General features: G+C 38.1%; 1 protein-coding gene and 1 non-coding gene across 15 annotated transcripts in view; both read left to right on the forward strand.

The window, feature by feature from the left end:
- FRS2 (fibroblast growth factor receptor substrate 2) overlaps nt 1–21,054 on the forward strand; it is a 109,406-nt gene that overhangs the window by 33,024 nt on the left and 55,328 nt on the right. The gene's annotated exons all lie outside the window — the stretch shown is intronic.
- Nucleotides 12,029–12,182, forward strand: SNORA113 (small nucleolar RNA, H/ACA box 113). The gene has a single exon (NR_145803.1). It is a non-coding gene; the product is annotated as a small nucleolar RNA, H/ACA box 113 (small nucleolar RNA).

Here is a 21,054-nt window from a genome sequence, read left to right on the forward strand (position 1 = left end):
AAATCCCATCATATTCATAGTCCTAGAGATTTTACAGGGTATATACATCATGGAGCAGGGATTTTGGATCTTAGAATTCTGCCTACTACTGACAGTCCCCATTGCATGGCTGCCAGTAAGTGATGCAGTCGCCTCTTGTGTGTGGTGTGTGAAGAGGAGCATTAGCAACCCTCCTTTGTACATCTGTCTATCACCAGAGACCATGAGCTTCTACGTGGTGGTAATGGAGATTCTTTTGGGCTGTGGAGAGGAGTTTGGGCAGTAGTTGGTAGGAACTGCTGAAGTTGTGAAATAGTGTCTTTGCATTTACCTCTTCAGTGCTAGGAGTAAGATGGGGAATGATGGCTTGGAGAAGAAAGCAGAGTGGAAGGGTAGGTTCTCATGCCCTACATCACCCCTGGGGTGCAGAGTTTAGCCATTTTATAGAAATGAGAACAACACCAGTGCTTTTATTTTTTAAATCCCAAATGAAAATTAGTATTAAATTGCTTTTACAGATTTTTAAAATTTGGCTGGGCCCGGTGGCTCATGCTTGTAATCCCAGCACTTTGGGAAGCCGAGGTGGGTGTATCAGTTGAGGTCAGGAATTTGAGACCAGCCTGTCCAACAAGGTGAAACCCCGTCTCTACTAAAAACACAGAATGTTTATTGCATGCCTATGTACCTGACAGTTTTTAAGGTGCTAAGTATTCAACAGAGAACAGGAGACATCTCTCTGTTCTGATGGAGCTTTCATTCCGATGAGTGAGACAAGCAGCAAGCAAATTAATAGATACAGCCTGGTAATTATAAATATGAGGGAAATGAATGCAGTGTGGTGGCAGGCACCTGTAATCCCAGCTATTCGGGAAGCTGAGGCAGGTGAATTGCTTGAACCCAGGAGGTGGAGGTTGCAGTGAGCCAAGATCATGCCAGTACACTCCAGCCTGGGTGACAGAATGAGACTCCATCTAAAAAAATAAATAAAAAGTTTTTAAGGGAATTTAAAGCATAGAACCAGGAGACTGAAGTGAGAGTTTATTTAAGAACACCAAATAAAACAAAGTACAGATGATCCCTGATTTACAATGGTGCTACCTTTGATTTTTTGGCGTCACAATAGATTTATTGGGATGTAATCCCTTCACAAGTCAAGGAATATTTATATACATTATAGAGGGAAAATAACATAAGTCTGCTATGTTAACAGTTGCATCCCATTATAAAAAATATATTTTTTCTCATAGATTATTATAATTTAATAATGTTCTTTTTATTTAATGTATGCTTTAAACATAAAATGTGCATTATGATAACTTTAAAAACACAAATAACTTTTCCTTCTTTCTCAAAGTAGAATTACAACCTGATGGAAATAAATGGACAACTATTTCCAGTTCCCCACTTTTTAAGTTGCTTACAGTTGTGCATCTGGTGGTAGAAGCCTAATCCCCCATAGACAGGGTCTCATTCTGTCACCTAGGGTGAAGTACAGTGGTGTGATCACAGCTTAGCGCAGCCTCAAACCCCTAGGCTCAAGTGATCTTCCCACCTCAGCCTCCCTTAGTAGCAGGAACTGACTACAGGCACATGCCACCATGCTGGGCTAATTTGTATTGTATTGTATTGTACTGTACTGTACTGTATTTGTAGAGATGGAGTCTCAGTATATTGCTTTGGCTGATCTCAAACTTCTGGCCTCTAGTGATCCTCCCACCTTGGCCTCCCAAAGTGCTGGGATAACAGGTGTGAGCCAATGTACCTGGCCTCTTCTAATTTCCAGTTTTTGTTTCTAAAAACTGAATATCACATGGTACCTAATATTAGCAAATGAGGAAATGGAAGCAAAGGAAGTGTGAACTTTCTTTTGTAGTAGTCAACTTTTGGCTTAATGTTTTGGGAATATAGTTCTGTGGAACATTTCTCTGCTTTTACAGTGGTGGAATAGTAGGATTCACTGTGTAGCTAACCTTGAAATACTAATTCCATAAAATAAAGGATATACATAATAAGAATCTGTTTAGCAATAGGGTAAATAAGCACTAAGGTGGTATTCTCATACTAGGGAAAATGTTTGCTTTATTACATCAGCAAATAATGTGTTCCACAAGTTTTGATTTATTATTTTAACTGTATAGGTGGTCTTACATCTAAAAAAGAATACCGCTTAAAAGACTTGTAGTACAGCATATAAGTTATATTAGACATGGAACTATGTTTCTGCCAATAACTCGACATTTTGAGGACAGATAGCATCTCATTTCCAATTTGAGATTGGGTACAAAAATATCCTAGGGCTGAGAATAGGCATAGTAAATTGCACCAACACAAACCTTTTGTGTATTTGTAGTGGAGGAAAAGTCTACATTGAGTTTGCGTGGAAAAATGTCATAAAAGCTCTTTATGCTTTTAACCAGTAGATTGGACCTCATTTTGTGATGATTACTTTGTATGATTAGTTTCCAATGCAGATTCCAAGAATGTTTCTGCACATGAGTTCCTTGTCTTTTTTCTGTTATTTTCACCTTTGGTTGATTGCAATCCACCCCCGACCACCATTTCTTGTTCAAGAAGTGTTTCATTAGTTTTTCTTCTCTTATTTTTATTTTCATGTTTTCTTTAATGTTTTTATACTAACCTAAAAATTTCTCCTAGTGCTTTAAAAAATTATGAGACAGTAAAGTTGTCTTTGGATGTTTTTTATTTTTACCCGAACACTATTTGAGTTGGCTTGCAAGACATGCTTATATTGCATAAATTTCTGTTCATGGGGAAGAGTCACTTTGAGCATTAACACTTCTGGGAATTGTTTCAAAATTTAGTTTATTGTCTTAATGTTAATAAGAGTTCCAGAAGTCTGGTTGGGGTTTGTTTTTGTTTTTTGTTTTTTGTTTTTTCCCCTATATCCCCAAAGACTATATTTGATTTTGTTTTAATTGGGTCCTGTAATACTTAATTGGTTTGATCCTGGATCCTTCATAAGCTATAATTACTTTTAGTAGTCTCTTGAATTTATCCAGTATTTTAGAATAATATCGCAAATACAGTTAGGCAGATAAATTTGGGAAGTACTGATATGTATTCTGTTTTTTTTCTTTTCTTTTCTCATCTGACTGATAACGTATTATTTAAATATATAGCAAAATCCAGAGAGAGAGAGTACTCATTCTCCCTAATATCCCTTATCTTTTCAAATGCTTTTATAGCATTTGAAAGATTCTTTTAGATCCAGTTCGGTGTCTACTTCTTCTTTCAAGCCCTCTATTATCTTCCCCTTCTCTAAATTTACAATTTCGTAGTTTACTTCTTAGTCATTTCTCTGTTTTGTATTGTTCATGAATTGTTTTAATGTCTTAATATTGGCAGCCTTCTATGGTTTGAATGTTTGTCCCCTCCAAAACTCATGTTGAAACTTAATCCCCAATGTGGCAATATTGAGAGGAAAAGCCTTTAAGAAGTGGTTAGGTCATGAGGGCTCTGCCCTCATGAATAGATTAATACATTCATGGATTAATGGATTAATGGGTTATCACGGGAATAGGACTGGTAGCTTTATAAGAAGAGGAAGAGAGACCTGAGCTAGCATGCTCAGCCCCACCACGTGATGCCCTCTGCTGCCTCAGGACTCTGCAGAGAGACCCCACCAGCCAAGAAGGCTCTCACCAAATGCGGTCCCTCGACCTTGGGCTTCCCTGCTTCCATAACTGTAAGAAATAAATTTCATATCTTATAAATTGCTCAGTTTTAGGTATTCTGTAATAAGCAACAAAAAACACACTAAGACACAGCCCTACTACAACATACTTCTTACCCCCTCTCCTACACTAGTCAATTTCAAACTCCTTGAGTGCAGGAGGAGTATGCCTTTCTTTCTGTCATGTTCCGACACATAATAGGCACTCAGTGATAAATACTTGGCATTTTTTTTGGTTGTTATATCTCTGACTATGTTTCTGTCCTGTTATATGGGTGTGCAATGTAAATAATAAGACAAATATTATTTTAATCTTTTTAAGCTTTTATAATACTTGTTTAATTGTTTGCAAATTTGTTTTATAGTTGACACATGAAATCCAGCAACTCTGTGTTGTAGATCAACAGAGCCCATTAGTACTGCTGGGAAAGGAAACCAAGGCCTCATAGCTTTTCTCTTCATATGAAAAGAACTTCATTAATTTTTAAAAAATTTAATAGACTGTGATGTAGTTTTAATCTCATGGTTTTAATCTTGTGTTTTTAAGCATTTTCCTTTTCTGGATGAGGTTCTTGGTTTTGACTGTGTAGAAGTATGTTAATTCGATTATATTTAGTTGATGAATTTGTGCCCCTAAGTATGGTACTTAAAAAGTTGCAGCCGGGCCCGGTGGCTCACGCCTGTAATCCCAGCACTTTGGGAGGCCCAGGCGGGCGGATCACCTTAGGTCGAAAGTTCAAGACCAGCCTGACCAACATGGAGAAACCCTGTCTCTACTAAAAATACAAAATTAACAGGGTGTGGTGGCACATGCCTGTAATCCCAGCTACTCAGGAGGCTGAGGCAGGAGAATTGCTTCAACCCAGGAGGCAGAGGTTGTGGTGAGCCGAGATCGCGCCATTGCACTCCAGCCTGGGCAACAAGAGCGAAACCCCGTCTCAAAAAAAAAAAAAAAAAAAAAAAAAAAAAAGTTGCTGCAGTGCTGCAGTTCTTGCAGATAAGATAATAAGATTGTTTACTGTTTTCTTTGCATATTTATTCCTGTGTGTATTTTTCTGTGAGGTAGCCTTTCAGTCTGTCCATTTGTATCATTTGACATTCAGACTTAAATCAACTCTACTATTGCTGGTGTTTACAAATGCTAGTCATTGAAAATGTCAAAATTTGGATTTGACCCAAGAGTTGCAAATAATGTAAGCTTTTATAAAATATATCCAAATATCTATTCTTAGGGAGAAAGAGAGAAAATACGGCATTTAAGGAGTGGTTTTTAACAGTTAGGCTTTAGAATTGCTACATTCCCAAAGTATTTCTCTAGTGAATGACATACCAGTTAATGAATTGTTCTACAAGAAAGGCATCTATTATGATTGGCCTCACTATTACTGGAAGTCCTAAGAATTAACAGAAATTAATAATGATAGTTGGAAAAAATGTATACTCTGTAGACAATTTTAGATCTTTTAAACAAAATCTTCTGGTTACCTTTCTAAATTAAATTTGTATTTTAAAATTAAAATGATATTTGTACATGTGTAGTTTAAAAAGTCAAATTGTATTACAAGGCTTATGAAAACAGTTCCCCATCTCTCTTCACCTCCAATTACCAATCTTTACAAGGCAGTCAGTTTCCGTTCTTTTAGTTATTTGTTCTGATATTTGTCTTCATTTTTCTAAGTCAGTTATTCTGCTTTTTGTTGGGTTTTCATTTTAGATAGTAGCTACTGACTTCCATCTAAGAAGGATGAAGATTAGTTATCTTAATCTCTCTACTGCCCACAGGCTTTTATACATACTTCCCTTTTTCTCATCTTTATAGGGTATCAGATTTTGGGGGTAGTTTAGTGTTTATTAAGACTATGCAAATATTTTTCACAACTGAGTCACAAAATTCACTAATTATATTTTGTTTTTCCAGATAATTATCCCAGTTTAAAATTTTTTTCTTGTTATTAATTCATTTACAATTATTTAACAAATCTGAAACAGCTCTTAATATGGTTGGACACATTAAGTAATCTGTCATCTCCATTTTCTCCTGGGAGATAGTCTACTGCATCCTGAGCAGAATTTCACATAATTTTCCTCTTTTTCAGTAAGACATTTTGTCTTGCTTCAGTTGTGACTTGTGTTCCTAAGATTGGGGTCTCTCATTCACCCTCTCCAGAGATGCATCTCCAGACTCTTATCAGGGATAGGGAGAAGATTGGTTTTCAGGGGGAGGCCACTTATAAGAATTTTCAGCCAGTCATATGGTTTCCAGCCCCATCCTGTGTTTTGTCTTCACTGTCCCTACAATACCTAAATCTTTCCAGCATGAGTCAACTTGCTGCTGCTTTTTTTGTTAAATTGTGGTAAAATATAATAACAAAATTTACGGCTACAACCATTTTAAAGTGTACAGTTCCATGGTATTAAGTACATTAGTGTGCAATAATCACCACTATTCATCTCCAGAACTTTTTCATCATCTCCAGCTGAGACTCAGCACCCATTAAGCAGTAACTCCCCATTTCCCCCTCCCTAGCTCTTGGCAACCATTATTCTACTTTCTGTCTTTATCAGCTTGCTTCCTGATGGCTTCTCCCTGTCAGGTTTAGGTTTCAACTTTCTTGGTCTTGATAGGTTATTCTTTTCCTTTTCTAGCTTCCAAAATGATGTTGATGACTCTCATTTGCTGTTGTGTCTTTCCCAATTCTCCTCATCCTTATGGGCTTTATACTTCTAAAAACTCCTATAACTTTTTAAAGCGAGGTCTCAGGAAGGGTCAGTCATGCTTTACATCCACCTTTCCCCTCCCAGCCCTCATTCCTTTGTTATTGTTTTTAAATTTAGGTTTATTTTATTAAGAATTTATTGGGAATTTACAGGTATGCCAAACAAAGGCAATTTTAACAGCCATGTTAGCTATAAAATTAAGTGTGATAAATGGACTTGTCACTGGCTTCTATTGTGTTTGTAGGGGTTTGATTCTGCAGATCTGTGGCAATCTCTAGCCCCCTCTTTCTCTCCCTAGCATACCTCATGTGGTGCCAGCTGTCCTAAGCCATATTCTGTGCTTCTGCTGCAGCACTTTTCATAGTGATAACCTGACCCATCTGTGGAGAATGATTTTGAGAGAGAAACTTATAGCCAGACACATTAAAAGTCTGTTATTCAAGTTACAATTGAGCTGTTTCCTTTCTGTGCAACTTCTCTGAGTGCCCTCGGTAGAGTTAATTACTCCTTCTGTGTCTTGACACTTGTGAATAATTCTATTTTATTCTGTCTCCGTTACATCTGTCTCTGTACGCTAGATATCTGTATTACAAGATCTGCCTCTTTCTTCCCTAAACTGTTTTCAAGGTTTGAAAAATACATATTCTGATACAGTTCTTGGCCCATGATAGATAATAAATAATTATTTACTAAATAAATAATCCATCCAAATTGATTGAACACCCTATTTTCTGGCAAGCGTATTGTCATTGTACCCTTTATCACTAATGTCCACTGAAAGCTGTGCCAGAAACTGTATTTGCTTTTGCTTGTTACTTGGAGTCAATAATGTGTAGTGATTAGGCGTGTGGCCAGAATGTCTTGGTTCAAAGAAACAAGCAAGTTTCTTTATCTTCTGTTTCTTTGCCTGTGAAATAGAGACAATAATAGCTAGCATGGAATGTGGTGAACATTAAATTAATACATCTAAAGTGCTAGCTCAATACCCTGCACATTGTCTTTATAGTGAATCTGTTTTTCATCTTTATGGGATACCTGCTATAATAACATTAGTACCTGTGAATAAAAATCAATGTAAAATGAAAAATCTAGTTAGTATTTAAAAGATTTAGCCCTTTGAAGCTCTTTGAACATGTTCTGAAATTATCTTCGTGGACAGTGTGCCATTTAGATAATAAACTGGGAGAAGTAGTATCTTTCAGTGTTACATACCTACTAAAATACTGTATTCTTTAAATATACTATAAGGTATCCAACTCTTTTAAACATATAGAGATACTTTGAATGGCAGTGCCAGTACTTGTGCTTTTTTTCTCCCTGAGGAGGGTTTTATGCAGCCCATCAGTAAATTTGATATTTGGCATCATTTGTCTTCTCATTTGAGAACCTGCAGGATTTAATTCTCCCCTCAGAGACTGTGTGCTAAGGGAAGGGAAACCTCCATCATTCATTAAGCAGTCAATGAATACTTGCTTATGTACTAGATGTTTTGGACACAAGGGAGAATAAGACACAGTTGTTTTCCTAAAGGGACCATCATCTCTTCATCATTTCAGTAGTAATAAAATCAAATGTTCCGGCTGAATGTGTGCACACTCTTTGACCCAGAATTCCATTGATAATGTTTTATAAATGGAATAAAAATGTACAGAAGTGTGTGTAGAAAGTGTTCATCAAACTGTTAATTATAAAAGCAATAAAAATATCAGTTTTAGTATATTCATTATATTTCCCACAGTTTCAATTAGAAACGTGATATTACTTAATTAAAATTTTGTTTTAAAAAAACTCTGAACTGGTGGATTTACATGGAGATGAATAGAGGATTAGGTCAGTCGTTGAGTTCTATGATCCATTACAAAGGAATGGTAAACTGCTCATATCCGTGTTAGGGCCCCCATTTCTTACTATATATACGACTGGCTAGTTGGTTATTGAAAATTCTGTAAATCTTGTTTCTTTTCTTCCATCTATAAAATGGGCACAGTGTTAGTAGTTATGAAGTTTGTTTTGAGGATTAAATGAACAATGTATGTAACCTAAAAACAAAAAATACCTCAGTAAATATTGGCTGCTCTTATTGTTCCTGTTTTTCTCTATACTCTTTATCTGTTTAATGAGTTTTCTCTGCAGCTTTTGTTCAGTCAGTCTCAACCAGGGATGACAGTGTTATATTTAATCTGACAGCTCCCATTGCTTTGTAACAGAGGTTTCTGAAGCCTTTGCCAGACTCCACAGAGCTGTCACCTGTTACCTGTGTCTGCCAATTTTGAAGGACGAGAAATAGCAGTACATGTGTCTTAGGTTTGCCTTCCTTGCTGTAAACCTTTTATCTCTTTATACACACCCTCCCTCCCTGTTCTCTTTTGGGTTTCATGTACTTTTTGATCTTGCACCTTATTTTAATAGGAGTCTGTTAGCTCATCTCTTTTTGGCGGGGGAGGGGAATATTTTGACTGTTACTGTTATTTCATAGCATAAATTACTCTTTATAACAGGGTAGTAATTCAGAGCTAGCCTTAGGACCTTTTTAGCTCTGCTTCTTCTAGGCTTCTCATAAAACACAAATATAGCTAGTTTGTAAGACTTATTTGTGCAAGCCTCATTTAAGAAAGAAGACCTGGATCTTGTATGAACTTTTTCCTTTTATTCCCTTGAGTAGAAAGCTCACACTACATTTAGTATAAGAATCAAATGCAGAAGAACTTTTTTCTAAGGGATTGTGGTATCTTTATAAGGTGAGTGGATTGTGACCAGAAAAGAATTTTTTTTGTTGAGTTGCATACACTTAAATTCATGGTGTTTAGGTATATGTTCTGAGGGCATGCAGTAAATAACAACTTGTATATTATAATTGATGGTTAAGAAATAGCCCTTGGCACATATGCAAAAATGATTTTACTTTATAACACATCCCGGGCATTACCTAGAAATGAAGTTATAGACACTATAAAAAGTTTTCACTTTCCTTGATGGCTTTTTCTGTACTGATGGGTCTAGAGTATTTATGAATTATCATAAATCAGAACGTTATGTTAAAAAGAATACAAACAGTTGAAATCACTTGCTTTGGATTTAGTATTTTCTTGTTATTTTAAATTCAGGAATCATGCCATATGGTATTCAGTTAACTTCATTTCAGTTAACTTTATTTTGAAGGGCAAAAGGAAGATGTCTTAATGACATCATTCAGCTAGGAATCAGAAGATAAGTTCCTTGGGTAAGTTGCTCAACTCTCAAGGCCTCAGCCACTTGTAAGGTGTAATGTAGCTCTAATGCATGAGCATGAACCTTGAAATTCTGTGACTTCTCCTCCCGCCCCCAAATCTCTGGCAAAGTTTGGAGTTTGTTTTTTTTTTTTGACCTTTTAATACATTGGATGTACATTAACAACAATATACCTTTCCAAATTCTTCTTTCTTTTTTCCTAAATTTTAATCTGAAAAGATTTGCTTTTTTAAACTCTCTTTTTTTTTAGGTTGGCAGTCAACAATCACCTTTTTAAAAACTATGCTTGATTTTGTTCATATATATATATTTTATTCATTAAAACATAGTTTCAACCCCATATGGTAACTGGCTCCTGAGAATAGGGAAACTAGTCCCCAAGCTTCAGCCTCCCCACAAACCTTGTATCAACATTTTTACTGATGAGTAATAAAATTAACAGATTTGAGCTGTAACATTCTGAACACTGGAAAAAGCATTACTGAACTGTAAAATAGACCTGCAGAGAAATCTGGCAGAGGAGGAGGAGTGTGCGTTAGCCTGTGACAATGAGGCACTGACTTACTATGCACTATTTTAACAGAGAATTGAATAGTTTTGCTATTTAGATATTTTACTGAGTTATTTTTTTAAACAAAAGAGGAATATATATGGTTTTCTGATAATAATTAAAAATTTTTTGACCTAAAAATGACCCTTGGGGGTGGGGCTCCTCAAGTGTAAAGCTCCTGCTGGGAAGAAAATTGTTGGGAATACATAGGTTGGTTTTAGGCATGGTGGAATCATTTGTTACCTCAATGAAAGCTACTCCTTGGATAGAGTTGTTTTCCTGTGATATCACTTCTCCTTGACAGTGTTCCTTTGAAATAAATCTAAATCTGCCTAGATATTTCTCACTTTCTAAATTAAGAAAATAATTATCTATAATTTATAAAAATAAAATTCGAAGTCTTCCCAGGATAAATCCATTGGTTAAAAGCAAACAATACTTTTTGAGTTTCTTTGGAGAGATGGAAAATTGCTTTTTTTTTTCTGTGTGGGTGAGGCAGGTGAGAATAGATTTCGCCCCTGCATGATGTCAATCAGAATTTTTGGTTAGTAAAAACCAAATCAAATATGTTTTAAAAGGAAATTGGGTAGAGCTCAGTGGCTTATCAAATTGTTGTGAGGGTTGGAGAACCAGATTCAGGGCTAAGCAACCAGAAACAATGCTCCAAATCACATTGCATAATTCCCATGAGGATGCCAGTACCATCTAGAGACAGACGGATGGATGCCACAACCTGTCCCAGCAACACTGCTGGCTCTGGATGACTCTAAATGCTGCCACCTCTGCCCCAGACTTGACCTTGCTGAAACTGCTCCACCATTAGTGTGAGAATGAGCTCCTTCTGCTCTCTGCTTCTGCTCACTAATTCGCTACTCTGGGATGCACATGTGTGTTTGGCAAAACATGTATCCTAGATGTATGGGACATGTGGGAAAGTGTTTAACCTTCTGCAATTATAAGACGGGAGGATGGCCAGATGCAGTGGCTCATGCCTTTAATCCCAGCACTTTAGGAGGCTGAGGTGGGTGGATCACCTGAGGTCAGGAGTTCTAGACCAGCCTGGCCAACATGGCGAAACCCCATCTCTACTAAAAATACAACACTTAGCCAAGCGTGTTGGTGTGTGCCTGTAATCCCAGCTACCTAGGAGGCTGAGGCAGGAGAATCATTTGAACCTGGGAGGCGGAGGTTGCAGTGAGCTAAATCACACCACTGCACTCCAGCCTGGGCAACAGAGTGGGACTGTGTCTCAAAAAAAAAAAAAGATGGGTGGAGTTCTCAAGAACTCCAAGCTGTAGAACCAGTGTTTTACCTTCTGAAATCATATGGCAGGAGAAGTTCAAGCAGACAAAAAGAATAATAGATGTTCACTGCACCTGATGTTTCAGATAAAATGTGAAGCCCTCAATATGTGCCACCATGCTAAATGTTATACAAGAATTATCTGTGTCATCCTCACAACAAACTTGTTAGTTTCATTTTAGAGATTAAAAGATAGACCAAGAGCAGGTAACCTGCCCAAGATTGTACAGTTAGTGATAGCAGTGTTGGGATATAAATTCAGAGCTATGACTCCAAAGCCAGTGCTAACTACTTAATTAAACTGACTTTTAATGTCTTTTCTGTCCTGATGCATTTAGCTCAAAATTCTGTAAATGAATCTGTTAGATTGAACCTACTATGTTTATTAAGATTTTGTGTATGGCATGTTTATGTGTTTAGGTAGTTTAAGGAAAGCTGAAAGTTTCTGGCTTTAATTTTTTCTATTTTCAGCTGATGATTAAATAATTTCTTATTCTTTTTCTCACTTTGTGACTATTTTTATAATTCACTTTGCCTCAGACTACAACCTGATAAAATGCTTTGTTTCTGAATATCAGTGCTTAGAAATGAGTTACTGAGTGTGAGAGACAGGCTGACATAAAAGGAGAGGGGATATAGAGTGACCGAGACTGAGGGAGGAAGGGAAAAACATCCCTCGCGCTCTCTTGCTGTCTCTCTCTCTCACACACATACACATACTCACACCCACTCCTCGAGAGGGAGAAACAAAGACAAATACATGTGGAAGAGAGGGTATGCACACACATTACCCTGAAAGCAACATTTTTAATCTTTTGTTCCCTCTAATGGTGGGTTGAAAAACAATTAAAATTTTCCCTTTCTGTATCAGGAAAGTCATTGAGGTCTTTTTTTTTTTTTTTAAGTTTGAATCTGTGCTTTCCCTAGAGTAAACAGTAGATCTTAAGCCTCTCTACCAGTTTACATTTTATATTGGTTTATGTATTTTTAGTTTGACCGCCCCACCCCCACCCCCACACACTGCAAAAGGTGTCATATCTAGGAGAAATAAACAAGAACTGTTATTTAACCCCGGGAAATATCCAGCTTGGTTTGGGCAAGAGGAAATGGTAAAGACAAACTCCCATAGTTTCTGTGATGTCAATTAAGCTGGAGTATTTATTCGTAAACCACCTCTCGTTAATTATTACTTTAGTACAAGTCTGTCCTACAGATTTTTCTATACTTCCCAAACAGTATTTCATAATAATGTTATTTTATTCACTTGTGCCTTTAAGACTAAATGGGCAGATATATTTTTGTAAAAGTGAGTAGATTATTATTATTATTATTATTACTATTTTTTTTTTTTTTGAGACGGAGTTTCGCTCTTGTTGCCCAGGCTGGCGTGCAATGGCGCGATCTCGGCTCACAGCAACCTCCGCCTCCCTGGTTCAAGCCATTCTCCCGCCTCAGCCTCCGGAGTAGCTGGGATTACAGGCGTGTGCCACCACGCCTGGCTAATTTTGTATTTTTAGTAGAGACGGGGTTTCTCCATGTTGGTCAGGCTGGTCTTGAACTCCGGACCTCAGGTGATCCACCCACCTCAGCCTCCCAAAGTGCTGGGATTACAGGCGTGAGCCACTGCGCCCGGCCAAAAGTGAGTAGATTAAGTGCCCTTCCACACACATGCTCTTGTAGACCGTCTGAATGTGGGCTGGGTGCTAGAGATGTGCTTGATGTAAGGTAAATATCCATGAAATTAAAAGTGATTTGTGTTCTGTTTAAATATTAAATTGTCAACATTGAGTATACTATACCTTTTGTCCTTATCTCCATCTGATCTTTCCTAGCATATAACTTTTAATATGAGAAATGTTATTTCTTTATAATTTTTTTGTTTTAATCCAGTACTAGCTGTATAAAATGGATTTTTGCATAAAAGCAGTTGATGTTATATATTCTTCTATTCTGCCACTTTTAAGATTTATGCTTCTTATACAAACTTTTTAGTGAATCAGTTTTGAAATGAGCAGTAGTCCATTTTTGAAAACAGTGTTGGCATATATAGACTTAGGATCCCTAATCCAAAAATTTGAAATCTGAAATGCTCCAAAATTCAAAACTTTTTGAGCACCAACATGATGCTACAGTGAAAATTTCACATCTGACCTCGTGTCATGGGCTACAGTGAAAACACAGGCACACAACACACAGCTTATTCATCCTCCACAAGGGAAAAAAGACCCTCCCAGCCCTCACAGCTGTAGTTACCTTTTCTGTGTGCAGAATGATGATAGTGCTAAACCACCACAGATTGTCCACGTGGGTGGCTGAGATAGCAACACCTTTGCTTTCTGATGGTTCAATGTATATACAAACTTTGTTTCATGGGCAAAATTATTTAAAATGTTGTATAAAATTACTTTCAGCTTATATGTATAAGGTATATATGAAATGTAAATGAATTTCATGTTTAGACTTGGTCTCATTCCCAAGATATCTCATTATGTATATGCAGATATTCCAAAATCTGAAAAAACTGTGAAATTCGAAACACTTCTGGTTTCAAGCATTTTGGATAAGGGATACTCAACCTGTACATTTTTTTTTTTTTAATCTTTAGGGGCATTTGCCAATGGTGAATCTAACTAATCATCTAGATAAGAAATGGTGTGTGAGGCCAAAGCAGTGATCCACTGACCCTAGACTGTCCTAAAGAGCCACACCAAGGAAACAGATTTCTTACTGGAATTCTGCCATTCCTAAAGGGCACATAGGCCATTTCTAATTTCCTTTAACTCATAATTCATGCATTTATTTAAACTCTTCAGCATTGCTGTCGGTTCTGATTCATATTTAATACATGTATGTTATACATGTATTAAGCTAAAATGTCCTATAAATTTGTTGGAATGTGTAATTCTGGGGGGAAAAACATTTATATTGCGAACTTGAGTTCTTTCCTTGCTCATAAGCTACTTCATTTTCTTTACCTGTAAAATATAAAATGATTTCACAGGCATTTTCCCCCCACTCTAAAAATATGTTGTAATGTGGCAAATTTATAGGGCTTGTCTTTTTTCCTCTTCTTCTTAGCATTTTTTTCCTATATTGCATTTATATATAAAATATTAAGCATTTTTTTTATGTATAAGGAATGAGGCACAAGTTAGGGAGGACCACTGAATTCATTTGGCTTATCTTAACTAAGTTTTGTGGATTTCATGAGAAACACTATTTCACAGCAGTAGTTCAGAGAAAACAGGTATAGCTTGTCTTGAGTGCTTTGAGATATGGATTTATTGAAGACCTCTTCATGAAACATGAATTCTACTTCTCAATTTGTTGGAAACTGGTTGAACACGTTGGTGATTCCTTCTTTGTCTTTTGTACAATTCCCACTTATGAGAAATTACCTTAGAATTTAGTTGTGGGAAAATTTGTCTCTATATCCTGTACACTCCTGAAAAATATTTAGAGCCTACCAGAACTACTGACAAATGAAGATAGTGTTTTCCTTCTGACAGATAAAGGCAGATTTTTTTTTTTTAATTGTAACTATTTTTGGCCAGGGGGCTCACGCCTGTAATCCTAGCACTTTGGGAGGCCGAGGTGGCAGATTGCTTGAGCTCAGGAGTTTGACACCAGCCTGGGCAACATGGTGAAACCCTGTCTCTGTGAAAACATAGAAAAAATATAATTAGCTGGGTGTGGTGGCACATGCCTGTAGTCCCAGCTACTTTGGGGGCTGAGGCAAGAGGATCACTTGAAACCAGGAAGTCGAGGCTGCAGTGAGCAGAGATGGCGCCACTGCACTCCAGCCTAGTTGACAAAGTGAAACCCTGTCTTAAAAAAAAAAAAAGTTGTAGGCCAGGCACAGTGGCTCATGCCTGTAATCCCAGCACTTTGGGAGGCCGAGGCAGGTGGATCACCTGAGGTCTGGAGTTCGAGACTGGCCTGACAAACATGGAGAAACCCCATCTCTACTAAAAATACAAAAGTAGCCAGGTGTGGTGGTGCATGCCTGTAATCCCAGCTACTTGGGAGGCTGAGGCAGGAGAATCGCTTGAACCCGGGAAGCGGGTAGCGCCCTTGCACTCCAGCCTTGGCAACAAGAACAAAACTCCGTCTCAAAAAAAAAAAAAAAAAAAGTTTTAACTGGTTTTCATTGACTTCTATTTTTGAAGTTATGGATTATTGCGTAGAAAATAAGGGGGCCAAGGTGTGTTTTATACAAATTGCATCCACTTCTGAGGAAGTTAATGGACTGGGTGACAGTCTCTGGGACACATAGATATGAAGATACCATCTTCAAGAAGAGGTTGTCAAATACTGAGGTGTTTTGGTATTCATGTAAGTCAGTTCCCTGGGATTGTATAAAAGGCAAACCTGCTTTAATACCAGGCTGCTCTTCATAGTGAATATTTTGTGTATTGCATTAAAATTCATGAAAAACAGTAAAATCACAGACTCTGATGACGTTTACATTTGTATGCCTCTCTTATGCATAATGTTGAAGACATAGAAGAAAACTCACTCTGGAAGTTTCATTTTTTTAAGTTCAGGAATACGTGTGCAAGTTTGTTATATTGGTAAACTTGTGTTACGGGGTTTGTTGTATAGATGATTTAATCATGCAAGTACTAAGCCTAGTACCCAATAGTTATTTTTTTCTGCTCCTCTCCCTCCTCCCACCCTCCACCCTCTGGTAGGCCACAGTTGTCTGTTGTTCCCCTCTTTGTGTCCATGTGTACTCATCATTTAGCTCTCACTTATAAGCGAGAACATGGGGTATTTGGTTTTCTGTTCCTGTGTTAGTTTGCTTAGGATAATGGCCTCCAGCTCCACCTTTTGTTGCTGCAAAGGACATGATCTTGTTCTTTTTTATGACAGTTTAGTATTCCATGTTGTATATGTACCACATTTTCATTATCCAGTCTACCATTAAAGGGCATTTAGGTTGATTCTGTGTCTTTGCTATTGTGAATAGTGTTGCAGTGATCATATATGTGCGTATGTCTTTATGACAGAACGATTTATATTCCTTTGGGTGTATACCCGGTAATGGGATTGCTGGATTGAATGGTAGTTCTGTTTTTAGCTCTTTGAGGAATCACCACACTGCATTCCACAGTGGTTGAGCTAATTTACACTCTCACCAACTGTATATAAGCATTCCCTTTTCTCTGTAACCTTGCCAACACGTTATTTCTTGACTTCTTAATAATAGTCATTCTGACTGGTGCGAGATGGTATCTCATTGTGGTTTTGATTTGCATTTTTTTAGTGATTGGTGATACTGAGCTTTTTTTCATATGCTTGTTGGCCACGTTTATGTGTTCTTTTGAAAAGTGTTGGTACGTGTCCTTTGCCCACTTTTTAATGGGGTTGCTTTTCTCTTGAAAATATGTTTAAGTTCCTTATAGATGCTGGATATTACAGCTTTGTCAGATGCATAGTTTGCAGATATTTTCTCTCATTCTGTAGGTTGTCTCTTTTCCTCTATTATTAGTTTTTTTTTTTTTTTTTTTGCTGGGCAGAAGCCCTTTAATGTAATTAGATCTCATATGTCAGTTTTTACTTTTGTTGCAATTGCTTTTGGCATCTTCGTCATGAAATCTTTGCCGGTTCCTATGTCCAGAATGATATTGCCTAGGTTGTCTTCCAGAGTTTTTATAGTTTGGGGTTTTACATTTAAGTTTTTAATCCCTCTTGAGTTGATTTTTGTAGATGGTGTTGGAAAGGGATCCAGTTTCAGTCTTCTGCATATGGCTATCAGTTATCCTAGCACCATTTGTTGATTAGGGAGTCCTTTTCCCATTGTTTGTTTTTATCAAGTTTGTTGAAGACCAGATGGTTGTAGTTGTGCGGCCGTATTTTTTTGCTTTATCTTCTGTTCTATTGGTCTGTATGCCTGTTTTTGTACCAGTACCATGCTGTTTGAGTTACTGTAGCCCTGTGATGTAATTTGAAGTCAGGTAGCATGATGGCTCCTGCTTTGTTCTTTTTTCTTAGGATTACATTGGATATTTGGGCTTTTTTTGTGGTGGTTGTTCCGTATAAATTAAAAAATTTTTTTTTCTAGTTCTGTAAAGAATGTCATTGGTAGTTGATAAATTGCTTTGGGCAGTGTGGCCATTTTAACGATATTGATTCTTCCTATCCATGAGCATGGAATGTTTTCCCATTTGTTTGTGTCATCTCTGATTTCTTTGAGCAGTGTTTTGTAATTCTTGTTGTAGAACTCTTTTACTCTCCTGGTTAGCTGTATTCCTAGGTATTTTTTTTGTGTGTGTGGCAATTGTGAACAGAATTGTATTCCTGATTTGGCTCTTAGCATGGCTGTTGTTGGTGTATAGGAATGCTAGTGATTTTAGTACATTGATTTTGTATCCTGAAACTGCTGAAGTTGTTTATCAGATCTAGGAGCTTTTGGGCTGAGACTGTAGAGTTTTCTAGATATAGAATTATGTTGTCTGCAAACAAGGATAGTTTGACTTCCTCGCCTCCTATTTGAATGCCCTTTATTTCTTTCTCTTGCCCGATTGCTCTGGCCAGGACTTCCAATACTATGTTGAATAGAAGTGGTGGCAAGAGGGCATCCTTGTTTTGTGCTGGTTTTTAAGGGGAATGCTTCCAGCTTTTGCCCTTTCAGTATGATGTTGGCTGTGGGTTTGTCATAGATAGCTCTAATTATTTTGAGGTATGTTCCTTCAGTACCTAGTTTGTTGAGAGTTTTGTTTTTTGTTTTTTGTTTTTTGTTTTTTTTGAGATGGAGTCTCGCTCTTTCACCCAGGCTGGAGTGCAGTGGTGCGATTTGGCTCACTGCAAGCTCTGCCTCCCGGGTTCACGCCATTCTCCTGCCTCAGCCTCCCAAGTAGCTGGGACTACAGGTGCCCGCCACCGCACCTGGCTAATTTTTTGTATTTTTAGTAGAGACGGGATTTCACTGTGTTAGCCAGGATGGTCTCGATCTCCTGACCTCGTGATCCACCTGCCTCGGCCTCCCAAAGTGCTGGGATTATAGGCGTGAGCCACCGCGCCCAGCCTTGTTGAGAGTTTTTAATGTGAAGAGGTATTGAATTTTATTGAGAGCCTTTTCTGCGTCTATTGAATTGATCATGTGGTTTCTATCTTTAGTTCTGTTTATGTGATGAATCACATTTATTAATTTATATGTGTTGAACCAAACTTGCATCCCAGGGATAAAGCCTGCTTGACTGTAGGGGATTCACTTTTTGGTGTGCTGCTGGATTTGGCTTGCTTGTTATTTTGTTGAGGATTTTTGCATCTATGTTTATCAAGGATATTGGCTGAAGTTTTCTTTGTGTGTGTGTGTGTGTGTGTGTGTGTGTGTGTGTGTGTGTGTGTGTCTCTGCCAGGTTTTGGTATCAGGATGATGCTCACCTCATAGAATGAGTTAAGGAGGAGTCCCTCCTCCTCAGTTTTTTTGGAATAGTTTCAGTACAGATGGTACTAGCTCTTCTTTTATTCATTTCTTCTAGATTTTCTAGTTTGTGTGCATAGAGGTGTTCGTAGTAGTCTGTGATGGTATTTTTATATCTGTGGGATCAGTAGTAACATTGTCTTTGTCATTTCTCATTGTGTTTATTTGTATCTTCTCACTTCTTTTATTAGTCTAGCTAGCAGTCTATCTATTAATTTTTTTCAAAAAGCCAACTCCTGGGTGTATTGATCTTTTGAATGGTTTCTTGTGTCTCAGTCTACTTTGGTTCAGCTCTGATTTTGGTTGTTTCTTGTCTTCTGCTAGCTTTGGAGTTAGCTTGCTCTTTCTTCTCTAGTTCTTTTAGTTGTAATTTTAGGTTGTTTATTTAAGGTCCTTCTGACTTTTTTATGTGAGCATTTAGTGCTATAAATTTCCCTCTTCACGCTGCCTTAGCTGTGTCTGAGATTCTGGTTGTATCTTTGTACTCATTAGTTTCAAATAATTTCTTGACTTCTGCTTTAATTTCATTGTTTACCCAAAAGTTATTAAGGAGAAGGTTAATTTCCATGTAACTAAGGTTTTGAGCAATTTTCTTAGTCTTGAGTTCTATTTTTCTTATGTTGTGGTGCAGAAAGGTAGTTGGTATGATTTTGGTTCTTTTGCATTTGCTAAGGATTGTTTATATTCAATTGTGTAGTTGATTTTAGAGTATGTGCCGTATGGCGATAAGAAGAATGTATATTCTGTTTTGGGGTGGAGAGTTCTGTAGATTTATATCGGGTTCATTTGGTCCAGTGTTGAGTTCAGGTCCTGAATATCTTTGTTAATATTCCTCCTCTAAGGTCTGTCTAACACTGTCAGTGGGGTGTTAAAGCCTCATACTTATTATTGCATGGGAGTCTAAGTCTCTTTGAAGATCTCTTAAGAACCTGCTTTATGAATCTGGGTGCTCCTGTGTTGGGTGTATGGATATTTAGGATAGTTAGGTCTTCTTGTTGAATTGAACCTTTTACCGTTATGTAATGCCCTTGTCTTTTTTGATCTTTGTTGGTTTAAGGTTTGTTTTGTCTGAAATTAGGATTGCAACCCCTGCTTTTTCTGTTTTCCATTTCCCTGGTAGATTTTTCTCCACTCCTTTATTTTGAGTCCATGGGTGTCACTGCATGTGAGATGGGTCTCTTGAAACAGTATACCATTGGGTCTTGCTGCTTTATCCAGTTTGCCACTCTGTGCCTTTTAATTGGGGTAGTTAGCCTATTAACATTGCAGGTTAGTATTGATATGTGTGCGTTTGATCCTGTCATCATGATGTTAACTTGTTATGCTGACTTTTTTGTGTGGTTGCCCTGTAGTGTCACTGGTCTATGTACTTTAGTTTGTTTTTGTAGTGACTGGTAAGGGTCTTTCCTTTCCATATTTAGTACTTCTTTCAGCAGCTTTTGTAAAGCAGGTCTAGTGGTAACAAATTCCTTCAGCATTTGTTTGTCTGAAAATGATCTTATTTCTCCTTCATTTATGAAGCTTGGTTTGGCCGGATATTAAATTCCAGTGCTCCAGGAACACTGGTCACCACACTCCAATGGGCAAGTGCCAGCCAAAGCACTTCATAGGGTGATAGCAGCAGGCTTGGTCCTTGTACTCGTTTGCACGTGCCAACAGCAGTGGCAGTGTGGACGTGTGTGGACTGTGGCAAGGTGCTAGCCAGCGCCGGGGTGCCAGCCTCCATGCAGGCATTTGCAGCAGCTGGGTGGCAGCATGGCTGGAGGAGGGCAGGGGGTCCCTGCAAGGAATAGAATTGGGCACTCATGGGGGCAGTCTGCTGTTCTCCATGCTTAGTTTTGGGCAGGCAGCAGTGTCGGCGGCAGGGGCTGGTGGTCTCATTGCTGCCAGTGCTCCTATGACAGTGGTGGTATGGTGGGGGATAGGGGACGGGGGTGCACTCACGGCAGCAGAGGCATGGCAGGGTGCAGACACCCTGGCTGGGAAGGGAAGACAAGATTCCTGCTGGCACACACATGCTGGCAAAGTGATGTGAGGGGTTGCTGTGGGCTAGTGCTTGTAGGCAAAGCAGCACAGGGGAGGGCACAGTTGGGGGAGGGCACAGGCAGCCTGGTGTGTGTCTGTGGGGCAGCTCTGCTAGAGCACTCTGCCAGT

This window comes from Homo sapiens, chromosome 12, assembly GCF_000001405.40.
Source record: "Homo sapiens chromosome 12, GRCh38.p14 Primary Assembly".
Taxonomy (NCBI): domain Eukaryota; kingdom Metazoa; phylum Chordata; class Mammalia; order Primates; family Hominidae; genus Homo; species Homo sapiens.